Here is a 19,585-nt window from a genome sequence, read left to right as displayed (position 1 = left end):
GGTTGAATGAATGAATAAATAAATGATTTCATCCATGATGATTTCAAACCAGATAGCATCCTTCTCAACCATGCATTGGGACAACCAGACCTTTTAATATTAGACTACATTTCTTGAAATAATAGTAGATGCCAAATATTTATTTATTTTTTAGATTTTTAGAGCAGCATCCTTCATCCTAAAACCTCAGGGTGTATTTGAATAAAATTACAGATAATTAAAATCTTTTAAGAAACTGTAAAAGCCTTAAAAACAAAAATGATATTTTATGGTTAATAAAGCTAGAATACAGACATGATTATAATGTTATATAATCATGTATGTAATTATTACATAAATAATATATAATCATCCTAATAAACCGTGTAATTTCAGCCACTCCTTCCCCTGAAGCTTGTCTATTTATAGGCCTGACATGGTTGGCATTGGGGAGAAGATAGATTCGGGGGGCTTGAGGATTAAGCACAGTATGTAACTTGGAAGGGCCTGTGCAGTTTACTAATTTAAGAGAATCTGTATCTGAACTGAATAAGAAAAACCAGCTTCAGGCTCAGAGGTGCCCTTACGAGAATTACTTGGACCCTGTAAGCTGGTTTTTCTTGTGTCTCATCCCACCTGCCCTGCTTCCTACTTGGCCTTCATGCCTACTCCTCCCCACCCCTCCTGCCCCTCAACCAAACACACACCAGGAGCTCCTTCCTCTTCTCTGCCTTTTCACATCCAACAAACTTCCCCGGTGACCCACGCTCGCCTTCCCTACCCATCATGCTCTGTGGCAGTGACAGTCCCTGCAGGGTACATCAGCACACTTTCTGGTGACCTCTGATCATTTGCCAATTTTCTACGCATGCTGTTCTTACTTCCATTTAGCCTGAACTCCTCCAAAGGCAGGTACAGGGGATGGCCCTTCTTCTCTGATTCTCAGTCACCCCTCTGTTTGTCCCTGGCTGAGGAGGGTCTGGTGGGCTAAAGAAGGCAGTGGAGGTCATCTTGGGATGGAATCACACCTACTTCAGACATATCGCTAGTGCAGGGCTGGTTAAACACTGATTTCTCCACCTGCCCTCTTTTCCCCACCACGATTTCTGATTCAGTGGGTTCAGGGTTTGACAATTTGCATTATTAACCAATTTCTACGTAAGGCTGGTGAGAGGACCACACTTTAAGCACCACTGGTTTAAAGAAAAATCCTAAGAGCCTGTTGTAGTTTCAAGACTGCGATGGTTTCCAACATGAAAATTATTGTTATCTCCTGTAGTTGTATAGTGCTTTACCAAATGCCTGTCTAATGCTGTGTACAAAAGTCTTGTCTAATTATGAAGAGGTTGAGTGACTTGCTGAAGTCCTCCTAGATGACAAGCAGGGGAGATGGGGTTCAAGGCCAGGCCCCCTCTACCATGCTGGTGCCTCCCAGCACCGGTCCATCACTTCTTTCTCTTTGGATGGGACTTGTTCTGTTGGATTCAGTTTTCCGGCAGCTCTTCATGCAGTGATGCAAGCAATGGAACAGAATGTTTGCTAGCTTCCGGGAGGGTTGATTGCTCCACGGGCCCCTCAGAATCCATCATGATAGACTCTTTGCTTTGATCAATAAAGCGCACTCTTCTCCCACTGGAAAGGAAACCAGGCAATAGTTTGCAAGATGAAGCACCCTGAACTCTGGGCCCATCTCCGGGGCTGTTAGCAGCAGCTTCGATGCCAGGAGACACCAGGCACGCTGAGTTTTGCTATGGCTCACTTGCCCTCATTTAGAGGATCTATCCAGTGATGTCTTTCTGACTTTGGGTTCGGGCAGGCCCAGGGCTACCACTCAAATCACTCACAGGAGTCAAGCAGCAGATTTGTCCTCTAAATCTGAACAGCCTGTGCCCAGGTCCAGGAAGTGGAAATTATCCCAATCTCTATGGGCCTTACGTAATGACGGCATACCTAGAGCAGATGCATAACAACCTCGTTGTCCATTTCAGTATGAACATCACAATCTGTCTTCGGATAAAATCCCTTCTTTCTAACTACTGTTCACTGAAATCTGTAACCATTTTGTAGTGAGATAATCTGTTTTTGACAGATTTCTCTGTACTATTTGAACAGAAACACCATATTTGGCAGATTACTGCTTAGGGATCCCTCTATTATAGCTCATTCTATTGTACCCTCCCCAACTTTTTCACGGAACATTCTGAGGTTCTCGTGAAGCTGCTACGTCATGGTCAGTTGCCTAAGTCATCAGATCCTGGAGCAATCTTCAGGAAGAAAACAGCTGAGACCTATGTTTTATTTCATGGTTCTATTTTGTCTTATTTGGAAAATACCAGTAGTGAGTGTCTCAGAGTCATCTGTATTTTCAGCAATGATTCTCATACTACAGAAAAATATCTAATCAGCAGCTTCTGTGTGAAGAGAGCTTGGGCTGAAAATAATTTGAAATGCACTACCCAGCCTGAGACTTCATTTTGGAGGGGACTGGTGCATTGTTTCCTTGGCGTTGATCATACTGAGGACTCAGAGCTGGCTTTGCTTGTCACCGTCACACTGTCCCATCTTGCCTTTCATGGTGCAATGGATGCGGTGCTGTGCTGGCTTCGATGGTGTCTTTTTTAAGGGTTGCTTATCCTTGGAGCTCTGCAGGGAGCTGATGATCCTTTCACGGGATGCAAATGCCTCTAGCACCAGGGTACACAGGATGGACAATTGATGACCTTGTGGGGGCTGCTGGCCTGCAGAGGGCGAGACTGGGGTTATTCACAGCTTGGTAATTGGCCCAGATCCTGAGATCTTCATCCTGAGCAAATGCAGGCATCGGGGGGGCAGTTACAGATCAATGCAGGGGCACTGAATACACAGACCCCAGAAAAAAAATACCAAAATCAAAAATGGCGGGGAGGAGCCAAGATGGCCGAATAGGAACAGCTCCGGTCTACAGCTCCCAGCGTGAGCGACGCAGAAGACAGGTGATTTCTGCATTTCCATCTGAGGTACCGGGTTCATCTCACTAGGGAGTGCCAGACAGTGGGCGCAGGCCAGTGGGTGCGCACACCGTGCGCAAGCCGAAGCAGGGCGAGGCACTGCCTCACCTGGGAAGCGCAAGGGGTCAGGGAGTTCCCTTTCCGAGTCAAAGAAAGGGGTGACAGACGCACCTGGAAAATCGGGTCACTCCCACCCGAATATTGCGCTTTTCAGACCGGCTTAAAAAACGGCGCACCACGAGACTATATCCCACACCTGGCTCGGAGGGTCCTACGCCCGCCCACGGAGTCTCGCTGATTGCTAGCACAGCAGTCTGAGATCAAACTGCAAGGCGGCAGCGAGGCTGGGGGAGGGGCGCCCGCCATTGCCCAGGCTTGCCTAGGTAAACAAAGCAGCCAGGAAGCTCGAACTGGGTGGAGCCCACCACAGCTCAAGGAGGCCTGCCTGCCTCTGTAGGCTCCACCTCTGGGGGCAGGGCACAGACAAACAAAAAGACAGCAGTAACCTCTGCAGACTTAAGTGTCCCTGTCTGACAGCTTTGAAGAGAGCAGTGGTTCTCCCAGCACGCAGCTGGAGATCTGAGAACGGGCAGACTGCCTCCTCAAGTGGGTCCCTGACCCCTGACCCCCGAGCAGCCTATCTGGGAGGCACCCCCCAGCAGGGGCACACTGACACCTCACACTGCAGGGTATTCCAACAGACCTGCAGCTGAGGGTCCTGTCTGTTAGAAGGAAAACTAACAAACAGAAAGGACATCCACACCGAAAACCCATCTGTACATCACCATCATCAAAGACCAAAAGTAGATAAAACCACAAAGATGGGGAAAAAACAGAACAGAAAAACTGGAAACTCTAAAACGCAGAGCGCCTCTCCTCCTCCAAAGGAACGCAGTTCCTCACCAGCAATGGAACAAAGCTGGATGGAGAATGATTTTGACGAGCTGAGAGAAGAAGGCTTCAGACGATCAAATTACTCTGAGCTACGGGAGGACATTCAAACCAAAGTCAAAGAAGTTGAAAACTTTGAAAAAAATTTAGAAGAATGTATAACTAGAATAACCAATACAGAGAAGTGCTTAAAGGAGTTGATGGAGCTGAAAACCAAGGCTTGAGAACTACGTGAAGAATGCAGAAGCCTCAGGAGCCGATGCGATCAACTGGAAGAAAGGGTATCAGCAATGGAAGATGAAATGAATGAAATGAAGCGAGAAGGGAAGTTTAGAGAAAAAAGAATAAAAAGAAATGAGCAAAGCCTCCAAGAAATATGGGACTATGTGAAAAGACCAAATCTACGTCTGATTGGTGTACCTGAAAGTGATGGGGAGAATGGAACCAAGTTGGAAAACACTCTGCAGGATATTATCCAGGAGAACTTCCCCAATCTAGCAAGGCAGGCCAACGTTCAGATTCAGGAAATACAGAGAACGCCACAAAGATACTCCTCGAGAAGAGCAACTCCAAGACACATAATTGTCAGATTCACCAAAGTTGAAATGAAGGAAAAAATGTTAAGGGCAGCCAGAGAGAAAGGTCGGGTTACCCTCAAAGGGAAGCCCATCAGACTAACAGCGGATCTCTTGGCAGAAACCCTACAAGCCAGAAGAGAGTGGGGGCCAATATTCAACATTCTTAAAGAAAAGAATTTTCAACCCAGAATTTCATATCCAGCCAAACTAAGCTTCATAAGTGAAGGAGAAATAAAATACTTTACAGAGAAGCAAATGCTGAGAGATTTTGTCACCACCAGGCCTGCCCTAAAAGAGCTCCTGAAGGAAGCGCTAAACATGGAAAGGAACAACCGGTACCAGCCACTGCAAAATCATGCCAAAATGTAAAGACCATCGAGACTAGGAAGAAACTGCATCAACTAACGAGCAAAATCACCAGCTAACATCATAATGACAGGATCAAATTCACACATAACAATATTAACTTTAAATGTAAATGGACTAAATTCTCCAATTAAAAGACACAGACTGGCAAGTTGGATAAAGAGTCAAGACCCATCAGTGTGCTGTATTCAGGAAACCCATCTCACGTGCAGAGACACACATAGGCTCAAAATAAAAGGATGGAGGAAGATCTACCAAGCCAATGGAAAACAAAAAAAGGCAGGGGTTGCAATCCTAGTCTCTGATAAAACAGACTTTAAACCAACAAATATCAAAAGAGACAAAGAAGGCCATTACATAATGGTAAAGGGATCAATTCAACAAGAGGAGCTAACTATCCTAAATATATATGCACCCAATACAGGAGCACCCAGATTCATAAAGCAAGTCCTGAGTGACCTACAAAGAGACTTAGACTCCCACACAATAATAATGGGAGACTTTAACACCCCACTGTCAACATTAGACAGATCAACGAGACAGAAAGTCAACAAGGATACCCAGGAATTGAACTCAGCTCTGCACCAAGCGGACCTAATAGACATCTACAGAACTCTCCATGCCAAATCAACAGAACATACATTCTTCTCAGCACCACACCACACCTATTCCAAAATTGACCACATAGTTGGAAGTAAAACTCTCCTCAGCAAATGTAAAAGAACAGAAATTATAACAAACTATCTCTCAGACCACAGTGCAATCAAACTAGAACTCAGGATTAATAATCTCACTCAAAGCCGCTCAACTACATGGAAACTGAACAACCTGCTCCTGAATGACTACTGGGTACATAACGAAATGAAGGCAGAAATAAAGATGTTCTTTGAAACCAATGAGAACAAAGACACAACATACCAGAATCTCTGGGACACATTCAAAGCAGTGTGTAGAGGGAAATTTATAGCACTAAATGCCCACAAGAGAAAGCAGGAAAGATCCAAAATTGACACCCTAACATCACAATTAAAAGAACTAGAAAAGCAAGAGCAAACACATTCAAAAGCTAGCAGAAGGCAAGAAATAACTAAAATCAGAGCAGAACTGAAGGAAATAGAGACACAAAAAACCCTTCAAAAAATCAATGAATCCAGGAGCTGGTTTTTTGAAAGGATCAACAAAATTGATAGACCACTCGCAAGACTAATAAAGAAAAAAAGAGAGAAGAATCAAATAGACACGATAAAAAATGATAAAGGGGATATCACCACCAATCCCACAGAAATACAAACTACCATCAGAGAATACTACAAACACCTCTACACAAATAAACTAGAAAATCTAGAAGAAATGGATACATTCCTCGACACATACACTCTCCCAAGACTAAACCAGGAAGAAGTTGAATCTCTGAATAGACCAATAACAGGCTCTGAAATTGTGGCAATAATCAATAGTTTACCAACAAAAAAGAGTCCAGGACCAGATGGATTCACAGCCGAATTCTACCAGAGGTACAAGGAGGAACTGGTACCATTCCTTCTGAAACTATTCCAATCAATAGAAAAAGAAGGAATCCTCCCTAACTCATTTTATGAGGCCAGCATCATTCTGATACCAAAGCCAGGCAGAGACACAACCAAAAAAGAGAATTTTAGACCAATATCCTTGATGAACATTGATGCAAAAATCCTCAATAAAATACTGGCAAACCGAATCCAGCAGCACATCAAAAAGCTTATCCACCATGATCAAGTGGGCTTCATCCCTGGGATGCAAGGCTGGTTCAATATACGCAAATCAATAAATGTAATCCAGCATATAAACAGAGCCAAAGACAAAAACCACATGATTATCTCAATAGATGCAGAAAAAGCCTTTGACAAAATTCAACAACCCTTCATGCTAAAAACTCTCAATAAATTAGGTATTGATGGGACGTATCTCAAAATAATAAGAGCTATCTATGACAAACCCACAGCCAATATCATACTGAATGGGCAAAAACTGGAAGCATTCCCTTTGAAAACTGGCACAAGACAGGGATGCCCTCTCTCACCGCTCCTATTCAACATAGTGTTGGAAGTTCTGGCCAGGGCAATCAGGCAGGAGAAGGAAATAAAAGGTATTCAATTAGGAAAAGAGGAAGTCAAATTGTCCCTGTTTGCAGATGACATGATTGTTTATCTAGAAAACCCCATTGTCTCAGCCCAAAATCTCCTTAAGCTGATAAGCAACTTCAGCAAAGTCTCAGGATAAAAAATCAATGTACAAAAATCACAAGCATTCTTATACACCAACAACAGACAAACAGAGAGCCAAATCATGAGTGAACTCCCATTCACAATTGCTTCAAAGAGAATAAAATACCTAGGAATCCAACTTACAAGGGATGTGAAGGACCTCTTCAAGGAGAACTACAAACCACTGCTCAATGAAATAAAAGAGGATACAAACAAATGGAAGAACATTCCATGCTCATGGGTAGGAAGAATCAACATCGTGAAAATGGCCATACTGCCCAAGGTAATTTACAGATTCAATGCCATCCCCATCAAGCTACCAATGACTTTCTTCACAGAATTGGAAAAAACTACTTTAAAGTTCATATGGAACCAAAAAAGAGCCCGCATTGCCAAGTCAATCCTAAGCCAAAAGAACAAAGCTGGAGGCATCACACTACCTGACTTCAAACTATACTACAAGGCTACAGTAACCAAAACAGCATGGTACTGGTACCAAAACAGAGATATAGATCAATGGAACAGAACAGAGCCCTCAGAAATAATGCCGCATACCTACAACTATCTGATCTTTGACAAACCTGAGAAAAACAAGCAATGGGGAAAGGATTCCCTATTTAATAAATGGTGCTGGGAAAACTGGCTAGCCATATGTAGAAAGCTGAAACTGGATCCCTTCCTTACACCTTATACAAAAATCAATTCAAGATGGATTAAAGATTTAAACGTTAGACCTAAAACCATAAAAACCCTAGAAGAAAACCTAGGCATTACCATTCAGGACATAGGCGTGGGCAAGGACTTCATGTCCAAAACACCAAAAGCAATGGCAACAAAAGCCAAAATTGACAAATGGGATCTAATTAAACTAAAGAGCTTCTGCACAGCAAAAGAAACTACCATCAGAGTGAACAGGCAACCTACAACATGGGAGAAAATTTTCGCAACCTACTCATCTGACAAAGGGCTAATATCCAGAATCTACAATGAACTCAAACAAATTTACAAGAAAAAAACAAACAACCCCATCAAAAAGTGGGCAAAGGACATGAACAGACACTTCTCAAAAGAAGACATTTATGCAGCCAAAAAACACATGAAAAAATGCTCATCATCACTGGCCATCAGAGAAATGCAAATCAAAACCACTATGAGATATCATCTCACACCAGTTAGAATGGCAATCATTAAAAAGTCAGGAAACAACAGGTGCTGGAGAGGATGTGGAGAAATAGGAACACTTTTACACTGTTGGTGGGACTGTAAACTAGTTCAACCATTGTGGAAGTCAGTGTGGCGATTCCTCAGGGTTCTAGAACTAGAAATACCATTTGACCCAGCCATCCCATTACTGGGTATATACCCAAATGACTATAAATCATGCTGCTATAAAGACACATGCACACGTATGTTTATTGCGGCATTATTCATAATAGCAAAGACTTGGAACCAACCCAAATGTCCAACAATGATAGACTGGATTAAGAAAATGTGGCACATATACACCATGGAATACTATGCAGCCATAAAAAATGATGAGTTCATGTCCTTTGTAGGGACATGGATGAAACTGGAAACCATCATTCTCAGTAAACTATCGCAAGAACAAAAAACCAAACACCGCATATTCTCACTCATAGGTGGGAATTGAACAATGAGATCACATGGACACAGGAAGGGGAATATCACACTCTGGGGACTGTGGTGGGGTGGGGGGAGGGGGGAGGGATAGCATTGGGAGATATACCTAATGCTAGATGACGAGTTAGTGGGTGCAGCGCACCAGCATGGCACATGTATACATATGTAACTAACCTGCACAATGTGCACATGTACCCTAAAACTTAAAGTATAATAAAAAAAAAGAAAAGTAAAAAAAAAAAAAAATCAAAAATGGATTTGTGTTTAGCGTGCCTTGTATATCCTGGTCTGGTTATGAATAATTTAGCCTTCCCCCGGCTGAATAGACTATATTTAGCAAATCCTATTTTGCTTATAATATGTCCTATCTTTTTATGAAGTATAAAGCTTGAGAGAGCTGCTCAGAATTAGGGGTGACTTTATTTTGTGGGAGCAGGAGTGCAGATGTGTCCTCACCTGCAGTCCCACCCTCACCACATACCTGGGTGGCCAAGAGCAGAAGTGCTTAGGGCACGTGTAGTTGAGAAGAGCCTTAGGATTGTGTCTCCTCAGTTGGGCACAGGACAGGGCTATCCACCCGTGTGGTTGGTGGCTCCTGGCTGAAACATCTGCCTAAGTGGGGGGATGGTGGCAAGATTTGAGGGGTGTTAAAAGGTGTCACTTTCCTCCTGTCTTGTTAGTGTCCCAGCAGGAAAAGGATGGCACACTCAGATCAGGTCATTTGAAGGGACTGTAATAGGCTCTGTACAGCAGTGCAGACGGGGTAAAGGGAACCCACAGGGGAGAATGCAGAGCATCAGGGCTCCTTACCTTTTCGAGGTCTGAGAAAGCACAGTTAGGGAGCAGTTCCTGGAACCCAGAACAGGAAAGCTGTGTGGACTGGCTGCCTAATGGGAGTGCAGGCTTGGGTCAGGGACAGTCTGTGGTGACTCCACAGGGAGAGAACCAGGGGGATGAATAACCCCAGCTGAACTCTCCTTCCTTTTTCTTATCTCCTGCAGGTACCACCCCACCTCCATTGCTTAAACCCAATTAGAAAGACAGAAGCAAGGAAGCCCCTGATCTTATCCATGTAGGTCAGCCTTCCAGGGAAAGAAGAATAGAGAGTGGATCTGGAGGTGCAAATGGAAGATTCCAACACACCCCATAAATATCTCCTGTAGTTCCATGCCCAGAATCAGGGCCCTGCTGTGAGTTGTACTGCATCTCTTCTAGAAGGCACTCATTAACTTGCAAACATCCAAACTTGGGAAAGTGACACCCTTCCTTATTAGTACAAGGTCTGGAGTGGTCCATGAAATTGGCTGGCTATCATCTGTTTTAGGGGTGGAACACAGGACAGGGACATCTTATGAATAAGGTAGAAATGGCAGTAATGGTGGGGTGCCAAAGGTGCAGGTTCAGAGTGGCTCAGTGAGAAGCAGCCCCGCACTGTGTCTGTGTAACTGCTCTGGACACCTGAGTGGTGGGGGGAAGGGGAAGGATTATGGATATGGAAGATGGATTCAGTGGCGTTACTTTGGGACCTGCCAGAAGCAGATACTCAATCCCATTTGTTGAGTGCCAGGGGTCTTCCAGGAATTCATCCCCAAGTCAGTTTTTTTAGAAGGTAGAACATATTTTCCTGTAAATAGCAGTGCTATGAAAACTGATTAAGATTCTCCACTACTCCTCAAAAGTCTATTTAGATGCTGGGTGGTAAGTACAACAGTGTTTGTTAAATTGTTTTCTGTTATTTTCTGTATGTTTGAAATATTTCACATATGAAATAAAATGAGTTAAAAATTTAGTTTAATACATAATCTGATCTCCCTGTGTCTTGGGAGGAGGGTCAGTGGAGATGAGGGAGGAGAAGTTAGAGAAGGAAAAAGAATCCCTTTTCCATTATTTTTCTGGGCAAAACTTTGAAACAGGTCAGGCATGTCCTTTGCTTTCTCCCAGGTTCCCTCTGGCAACCTCACCCTGCTCTGCCCCGCATGCTGCCCGCCTCGTCCAAGTGACAGCTCCATCCCCTCTGACCCCTGCCTCCCCCAAGTCAGCCTTCTGAATGCAGAGCTTTCAGGTTCTTCCCCTTCAAAAGTATGATGTGGCTAGTCTTGGGAAGTGGTTAGAAAATATTTCCATTATCTGTTGATGCTCAATAAACAATGTTAAAATTTATCAGCTTGAAACAACCATCATTTTATCTCCTTATGCTCTCGTGGGCCAGGAATTTGTATAAGGCGAAGTGGACACAATTAACCATTATTGTGCTCATGGTGTCTGGTCTTGACTAGAAAGGCTCATGTGGCAAAATCCAGCCAGGGAGGCTCAGCGGGGTTGTATGTTTGGGTCTCTGGTTCTGGCTGCTCTCTGGGCTCCCTGGTCCTCCTCCTCATGGCCTCTTCATGAGGTCAGCCTGGGCTTCCTCATTGCATGGTGGTCTGAGCAGTTTCATTCATTTCTACATTGTATCTGGCTTCTCCCAGCAGAAGTAGAGGCTGCTGGTCTTTTTAAAGCCTAGACCAATAACTGCAGAGTCACTCTGCTACCTGCCGTATTGATCAAGGCAAGTCTTAAGGCTAACCCAGATTCAAAGAGAAGGGAAACAGATGTCGCCTTCTGAGGAAAGCAGCATGTGTGTGACAGTGAGGGAAGGAGTGGACAGTGGCCATCTTTGGAGACCGTCTTTCCCACAGAGGAATCAGGCAGGCTTAAATGTACACTGGGGTGAATGATGGATAGCTTCATGTGGCATTAAAATAATGGCTGCAAATTCTTTGACATTCTTTCCATAAAGGGGTCATTCCCTCTTTTTGAATCTGGCTGGTCATGTGATTGTTTAATCAAATGTGGTGGAAGTGACTCTGGGTGACTTCCAAGGCTAGCTCAACAGAGCCAAATAGCTTCTGCCTGGCTCTCTTGGGACATATACCCTGGGGGACGCCAGGTGCCATGTAAGAGTTTGGCCACCCTGAGGCCACCATGCTGGAGAGACTACCTATGAAGATTCCATTCCGCAGCCCAGCTGAGCCCCAGCCCACAGCCAGCACCAGCTGCCCCCACGTGAGTGAGCCATCTTGGGTGTCCAGTTGGTTGAACCTTCATATGGCACAGCTCCGGCTACCATCTTTCCTCTACTGCATGAAAGACCCCAAGTGAGAACTGCCCACACAAGCCCTTTCCACATTCCTGACCCACAAGATGGTGAGTAAAATAAAATGGTTCTTTTAAGCCATTACGTTTTGAGGGGATTTGTTATGCAGCAATATTATGGGAGCACTTAATAAACCTCCTGGAGGTATTTCTATTTGAGGAATTGAATTCAGCAGTGAAGTAAAAATTCAGGTAACCAGGAAAAGACATTTAAGAGGGGCGGAGGGGTGGGAATATAAAGCAGTCACATTAGTGTTGACTGAGAGTTGGGCTTCCCTAAGTAGCTCCTGCTTTTCACAAACTCTTCCTTTCCCACAATTATGAATCCACAGTCAAGATTCAAGTCACCTCCTTTTCTGAACTCCAGCACCCTCATCTGAAAACGGGATATAAATACTTTTTTGAATTTCTGCAATGCCTAGATGAGGTAACATTCAAGAAATCATCTAGCACATTGCCTGACATATAAGTGCTTGACAATTCATGGAATATGAATCTGAGAGCGTGTTCATTCAACAAATATTTATTGAGCAACTAGTTTGTGAAATCTTGCGTTAGGTGCTGGGACTCTGGGAGTCCCAAATATTTCTGTATTTCTGGCTTATTTTAGATCCAGTGGCTATATATACAAGCCTTCTTCTGACTTGAGGCTGAGGACCGGGGCAGACAGTCTCGGCCTGGGGGAGAAAATTCAGTCCTGAACTGTAGCTTCCTCTAGTCTCCCATTGTAAGGTGTGCAAGAAGTCCAGGGTCCAGAGGGGCCCAGGAGTTCCATGTCAGAAAAAGCTTAAACTAGTTATTAGGAGGTTGGGGTTGTGGTGTCAGAATGCTGGAGCCCAAATTTCAGATTTTTCACTTACTAGCTAATTGATCTTCAGCAATTTATTTAACCTCTTTGGGCTACAATTTTATCAGGAAATAGTGATAATAATAGTGACTACTCTGGTGTGGTTATTGTGAGTCTTCAAGCTGAGTGTCAGCCACATTCCAGTATTTAGTCTAGACCCGCCCAGTTCTGATGATAATGATGATATTGTTATATTATCACTGTCATTACACTCACCCTTGGAAACTCAGCATAGACGTGCACAGACAAGCTTTGGAGCCAGGCTGTTAAGACCTTGAATGAGGGGGGCACAGGCATTTTGTCTTACAGACAAAGGGGCTTTGAAAGCTGGAGAATGGCAGGATCAAGCTCTTTCTCCCTCCCTCTCTTCTGCTCCCTCTGCCCTTGCTTTCTCATTTCCTGTTCTCTCCCCTCCTTTAAAATGATGACAGTATGTTCAAGTTGTGAAAATCAAAGGAATAGATTAGAAACAGGAGAATAAATGTGCTTAGCAGGCCCAGGAAATCTCCAGGGGATTGGAATTGATTACCCAGAGTGTAACACACAAAATGATCATTTTTCTGCATGTGGTGAACAATGGGAATGAAGTAGAGGGTTTGAAATACCTCCCTACCGGATCCCCTCAACCCAGTGGGTTTTCTCGGTGATGGAATAGAGCCATAGGGCTGAGCAGGTGTGGACTGGACCACCTCTTGGTGGCCTCTTTCTGGAAGGGTTGGTGTTAGAGGAAAAACAGAACCTTTTCCAGAACACTTAGCCACCTTGTTTAACTTAGAGAGAAGACTCTGCCTGTCCTTAGAGATGCTAGGACCTTGGGAAGTTTCATGGGTGAAAGTATTGATGCTTTATGTAGGAGGTCACAGAGGCCTATAAAATATACCCTGATGCCTTTCCCCAGATGAGAAAGGACCTCTCTGAATGAACTCTGTGTGGGCCCCACACAGCCCTGTTGTCATTTAGGGTGGTTTCCTGGCTCTGGACCTTAGAAGGATTCAATAGAGCCAAGCATTACTTTAAAATCAAGAACCCTGATTGCAGGATGGGTGCAGGCTGGAGGATGGCTTGTAGGGCCAGGAACTTCAGAGTTTTGTTTTGTAATTCATTTTGGCTTGAGTCGAGATTGGCCGTGGGAACCTGGCTTTATGTACTCAAGTCACTATGAGGAATGAAGTCACCATTCATAGTTAAGTTGCTTATCTGTCTATCTGAAAGGATAAGACTCTGATTTCCAGCTGCAGTTTATCTTCTTTTCATCTTGAAGGTCGAGATTTATTTGAATAAAGAGGTGAAGGTACATGAGCTGCCAGGCTATATGATATCTTTGCATATTTTAGATAAAAGCACTCCTTCAGGGGATATGTAGCCCATCAAGTTCATGACTTAGAAGCCGGCATGGCCTATACTTTAGTCTTCTAATTAATCCCTGGTCAGGGAGAATTTATGCAGTGCTCAACTTGCACAATCAGATGTGGCAGCCCTGCATGAAGGGACAATTTACAATAATAGGCTGAAGTAGTGCATCGGAGGGGTGCATGGCCTGGGTGTCTCTATTCCTGGGTCCTTTGGATCCTGAAACTAATCTCCCATTTTTCTCAAGCACTGGTTCTCAAACTTGAGCATGTATCGCAATTGTCTGAAGGGATTGTCGAAACACAGATTGCTAGCTCCCAACCACAGAGCCTTGCTAATTTAGTAGATCCAAAGTGGAGTCCAAGAATTCGAATTTCTTAAGAAGTCCCCAAATGATGCTGATGCTCTTGGTCTGGGGACCACATTTTGAGAACATTTTCTCTGGAGCCCAGTTTCCCAAACCAGAATGTCCCACTTCCAGGCCCTAGCTACTTGGCTTGTTCATCAAAAGCAAAAATACTTTCTTATATAGTGGTACAGGTTAGTCATCAAATATAAGGCTTTACTAGAACTTTCTGGGAGGGGTTCTTGCTGACTCCTTCCTCATACTCTAGGAGCCCATTGATTAATTTGGAGAGCGTCTGCAGCATCTCATCTAGCACAGACATCAATGCCGCAGTGGAGTGGAACCAGTTATCCTTTTCTAAACCTCTCATATCCTGCATGCATTCCCTCCTAGAGTATTGTTTTTTTGGACTAAAACATCTCCTGCTTGATTTTAGTCTGGAGATCTATTTTTTATGTCTGCAGAAAATATGCTGTGCTATTTTTTTATTACCCAAGTGTAAAAAACAAAACAAAACAGAAAACTTAGTGTGTTAGAAAATTACACAGAGGCAGTTTAGCACTCAGACTACTTAAAACACAAGCACACACACGTGCATGCACACATAAACAGGCTTCTTTGGAGACATCTCTGAGTTGAGTTGAGTGAATAAAGGGCTGTCTGGGCCATTATTCTGAGCCAATGAAGTTTGGACTATCTGGAATTCAGTTATTGGTATAAGGCTCCCTCTTGGCAATCAAGGAGTAAAACTAGGACACGCATTTTCGGAGCTGTTGGAGTTTCACGCTCCTCTGTAGTCTTGGAAATGGCTTGGCATGCTTTCAGATGTGGATGGCCTTCCTACTGACACTCTCAGGACCACAGGACACTTTTTAAAAGTTTGACCACCAAATCGCCACATCTCGTTAGTGGCAGCGGTTGCTTTATCTGTGAGAAAAACTGTCTTTCTTAGCTTCTCAATTTGTCACCTGTGCAATGATTTATTACCTTCCAAAGCTGCAGTAATTGTATAATGATGCAAAGTAATGACAAGCCATTCTGATAAACTTTATTACCTGTAGCATCTTGTATTCAAACTGTATTCCAGCATGTGCTATAGGATTGCAGAGCACACCCCCATGGCTGAAAGCTAGTGGAGGTTTGGGGTAGGCACGGGGGAGATGTGTTGCTTCTCAGGCCTGAGAAGGAAGGAGAAAAAGAAGTGAAATCCAAACTTCTTGAATGGTGGCTATGAGGAACTGGGCTGGGGTGAATTGATTCCATTTGGGGTACACATGTCAAATGGGTGTACCTTTATTTTTTTATCCCAATAATGTTATATTTACTATTTTAAATTGAGAATACAGAATTAGATCATAAAAAACATTAATGAAATATATGTTCAAAGTAACATATATAAACAGTATTCATAGATGAACTTCCATTTTCATCTTCAACACTCACCTTTTTGAGCCTCTCCTTTTTATCAAATGACTAAGCTTTCGACCTTCACACAGCTTCAGCTGTACCTTTGCTTGAGGTGAATGGTAAAGTACTGCACAGTGTTCTGGGCTGAGGATATGAGAAGGCTGTATTCCAAGGTAACTTTCAGATTTGCTTTTCATTTTGGAAGCACATATGAAGTTCAAAAGCCCTTGATGTGGAATTGAGAACTGAGAGACAAAATTGTAGTCAAGGATGTCTGAAAAGAGGTTCTTCCAGAGATCAGTGCTTACCTGACTTGGGTCTGTGGTTAAGGGGCCTATCTCCCATTATCTTCCTGAACCAAAGAGTAATGAGGTCCCCTGTATAGCTGACTGTGGAGGCAAAAAGAATGGGTAGGAGTCCTTTGCTGTCTCCCCTCCTTCATGGCAACGTGCCCATGATGACAGGCTCTGCTTCTTTCTTTATCAATGAACTCTCTTGGAGTTGTATCAATGGGCTTAGGCCAGGCCTGTGTTCTGAGTGTGGGGCCTTGGTGGTGAAGTCCAGAAGGGACTATACCAGGGAGCTGATCTTGCTTGTGTTGACCAATGTCCACTTTTTTTGCCTGCATGGGCTCAGAGTTGAACTATATTTCCCAGCCTCTCTTGCAGTTAGATGGGACCTCTCTTGCAGTTACCTTGTTCTGGCCAATAGAATGTAGGCATTTCCAGGACTGGCCATAACATCTCCCTAGCATGGTCCTCCTTTCTCTCTCTTTCCACTATCGGCCAGTGGAGGATACCAATGAGAAAGGACGAAAGCACCACAGATGGAAGCAACCTTTGGAAACTGAGTCACTGCTTGGAGGAGAGACTCCTATGTTTTCACTGGACTGTGATGTTAATGAGAAATAAATCCTTTTGTTTCAAGGCACTGAGATTTCAGAATTAATGTGTTACCGTGGCATAATCTACCTTATTCTGACTACTTGGCTCTGAAAAGCCATGGAAGAGGTTAGTCTATGCCCACAGCCATGTCTTAGACTCCTTGAAACTGGGCAAGGTCTACCTGCTTGAACATGGATTTATTTTCCTCTGAGTTTTCAAAATTGGTAAGTGTTTCAGTATAGGAGTAAAAATGGTGACTGCAACTCTGGAGAAGCTCAGATCCTCAGACATTTCAAGGGAGATAGTGGTTCAAGGCAAGGCTAGACCAGGGTTTCTCAGTGTTGGGACTACTGATACTTTGGGCCAAATGGTTCTCTTTTTGCAGGACAGACCTGTGTGCTGTAGGATGCTTAGCAGTCTCCCTGGCCTCTTTCCACCAGATGACAGTAGTGTGCCCCCTCCTGCCCCAGTTATAACAATCAGAAATGTCTCCAGACATTGATAAATGTCCCTCAGGGGGCAAAAATCAACCCTAGCTGAGAATCACTGGGCTAGAGAAAGCTTTTGAGACATCAGAAATATGCATTTTCCTCTTCTCCGTGGCCAAGAGGAATGTGTTCTTGTTTCTTTTCCCTACTTCATTTCATGTCTTGAAATGTTCCTTGACTCCTCATAAGACATGAAGACCAAAGCTGGCTTATTGGTGTTGAAAGCCCTCCATGAGTGGGAATGTGCTGCTTCTACCAGATTTCCTCCTACTCCCATATTAATTATCTGTAGTGGTAAAGTGTATTACCCCAAAACCCAGTGGCTTAAAACAACAATGATTTATTCTTATAGTTCCTGTGGGTCAGAAATTCAAGAGTGGCTTTGTGGGTGTCTCTGGCTCCAGGTTAGGCATGTGGTTGCAGTCAGGATGTTGTCAGGGATAACTATGTAATCTGAAAGCTTGCCTGGGCATGGAGGATTTGTTTCTAAGGTGGCTCCTGACATGACTGCTGGGGGAGCCCTCATGTCCTTACCATGCAGGCTTCTCCATAAGCTGCTTGGGCATCCTTACAACATGGCAGCTAATCTCCTGAGAGCAAGTAATATAAGAGAGTGAGCAAAAACAAGGAAGAAGCCTCGGCATCCTTTATAACATAGTCTCTGCAGTCATACCCTGTCATATCTGCCTCGTCATACTCACTAGACGAAGACACTAAGCTCAGCTCATACTCAAGGGAAGGGCAGTTGACCTCCACTTTTTGAAGGCAGAAGTATTGAAGAATTTGTAGACATATTTTAAAACCATCACACCCCCAGGGGTGAAGCCTTCTCTGCTTAGGTACACTGGGCTGCTCACCAATCCCAGACACACTAGGCTTGTTCCTTGGTTTGTATTCCCCTGATCCCTGCTACCCACAGCACTTTCAGAGTCTTCCAGACACTCTCCAATTCCCACTGGAATGTGAACTCATCTGGTGGTTCCCTCTGGAAAAGCATTTGTAAATTCACTCAGGGAAGTTATAAAGTAACAATGATTTGGAGTCTTGTCTCTCCCAGGAGTATGGGCAACTGTAGGAACTCCTAAATAATGCTGAGCTATGACCAAGAGTGTCACCATGCTAATGGTGGGATTTCGGATCTCACTGAAATTCTTGAGAAAGACTGCTTAGTGCTGGGCATGTGAGAGACAACTGCCACCTCCCTCTCCCAATCTCTACCCTGGCCTGGTTCTCAGTTCCTCCTGAGCCCAGTGACTGCCTCCCCAGCAGCCTTTGAACCCAGATCAGGTAGCATAATGGTACACAGGCTGCCTAGGTTTGAATCCCAGCTCCCAAACTGTGACAGAGGTGGCTTGCTAACTACTCATGCTTTGCATTGCCTTTTCATAAGGTAGAATGGTGACTGGGAAGTGGCTGTGTCACCAGGGTTGACATTTCTCATTCCTTGCTTGCATCCAGGTTTGTCCCTGTGCGTGAGCTCCAGCCCCTGGACTGTGGATGGAAGTGAGGCGACATGGCCCACAAGCCCCTCCTATGGGACCCTCCATGGGCTCCCTTCCCCATCTGCTGGCTTAAGGTAGCTTCCCGGAGAGCCACACCAGGGGCCACATGGTGAGGACAGCAGGTAGCGGCTCTGTGAGCCAGATCCTGAATGTCCACTGCTCTTGCCAACATGAAGACTTTCCAAGAGTGAGATACAGGTTTCTATCATGTTGACCCTGTAAGATTTCAGTGTTCATCTGTTACAGCGGCTAGTATTACTTAACTAATATAATCACTTTTTCACTCTATAACTTTGAGAAAATTTACTTAACCTTTTTTATCTCAGTTTCTTTTTTTTTTTTTTTTTCTGAGACGCCCTGTCGCCCTGGCTGGAGTGCAATGGCATGATCTTAGTTCACTGCAACCTCCGCCTCCCGGGTTCAAGCAATTCTCCTGCCACAGCCTCTGGAGTAACTGGGATTACAGGCACCCGCCACCATGCCTGGCTAAGTTTTGTATTTTTTTTTGGAGATGGGTTTCGCCATGTTGGCCAGAGTTGTCTTGAACTCCTAACCTCAGGTGATCCACCCGCCTCAGCCTCCCAAAGTGCTGGGATTACAAGTATGAGCCACCGCTCCCGGCCTTACCTCAGTTTCTTCATCTATAAACTGGAATAGTAAGGGTAGTCACCCCACAGGGTTGTAATGATGGATAGATGAGTTCAAGCCAATAAAACACTGAAAACAGTGTCTTCCCATAGTACATGCTCTGTAAGGTTACCTACTCTTCTTATTAATTAGGATAAATTATTGCCATCTGCCTGAGCACTGTTATGTAGAAAAGACTTTTTGCTTCAAAACAGTTTTCTCTCTGATTTATGGAGACTTTCTGGGATCCAGCGGGGGCTCAGCTAGAAGACAAAGCTGTCGTGTAATTCAGCTAAAGGAAAATCCAAGCCGAC

At 44.1% G+C, this 19,585-nt stretch overlaps 1 annotated feature.

Moving 5' to 3' along the window:
• Positions 2,388–3,085: an enhancer, noted in NCBI's record as "NANOG-H3K27ac-H3K4me1 hESC enhancer chr2:23453551-23454248 (GRCh37/hg19 assembly coordinates)". NCBI's record gives its function as "activates a minimal SCP1, AML or CMV promoter by ChIP-STARR-seq in naive H9 embryonic stem cells {active_cell/tissue: H9 hESC(naive)}" and the evidence as "EXISTENCE:reporter gene assay evidence [ECO:0000049][PMID:30033119]".

The sequence above is a fragment of the Homo sapiens genome, chromosome 2, assembly GCF_000001405.40.
Source record: "Homo sapiens chromosome 2, GRCh38.p14 Primary Assembly".
Classification (NCBI taxonomy): domain Eukaryota; kingdom Metazoa; phylum Chordata; class Mammalia; order Primates; family Hominidae; genus Homo; species Homo sapiens.
This window is presented reverse-complemented; position numbering and strand designations above follow the sequence as displayed.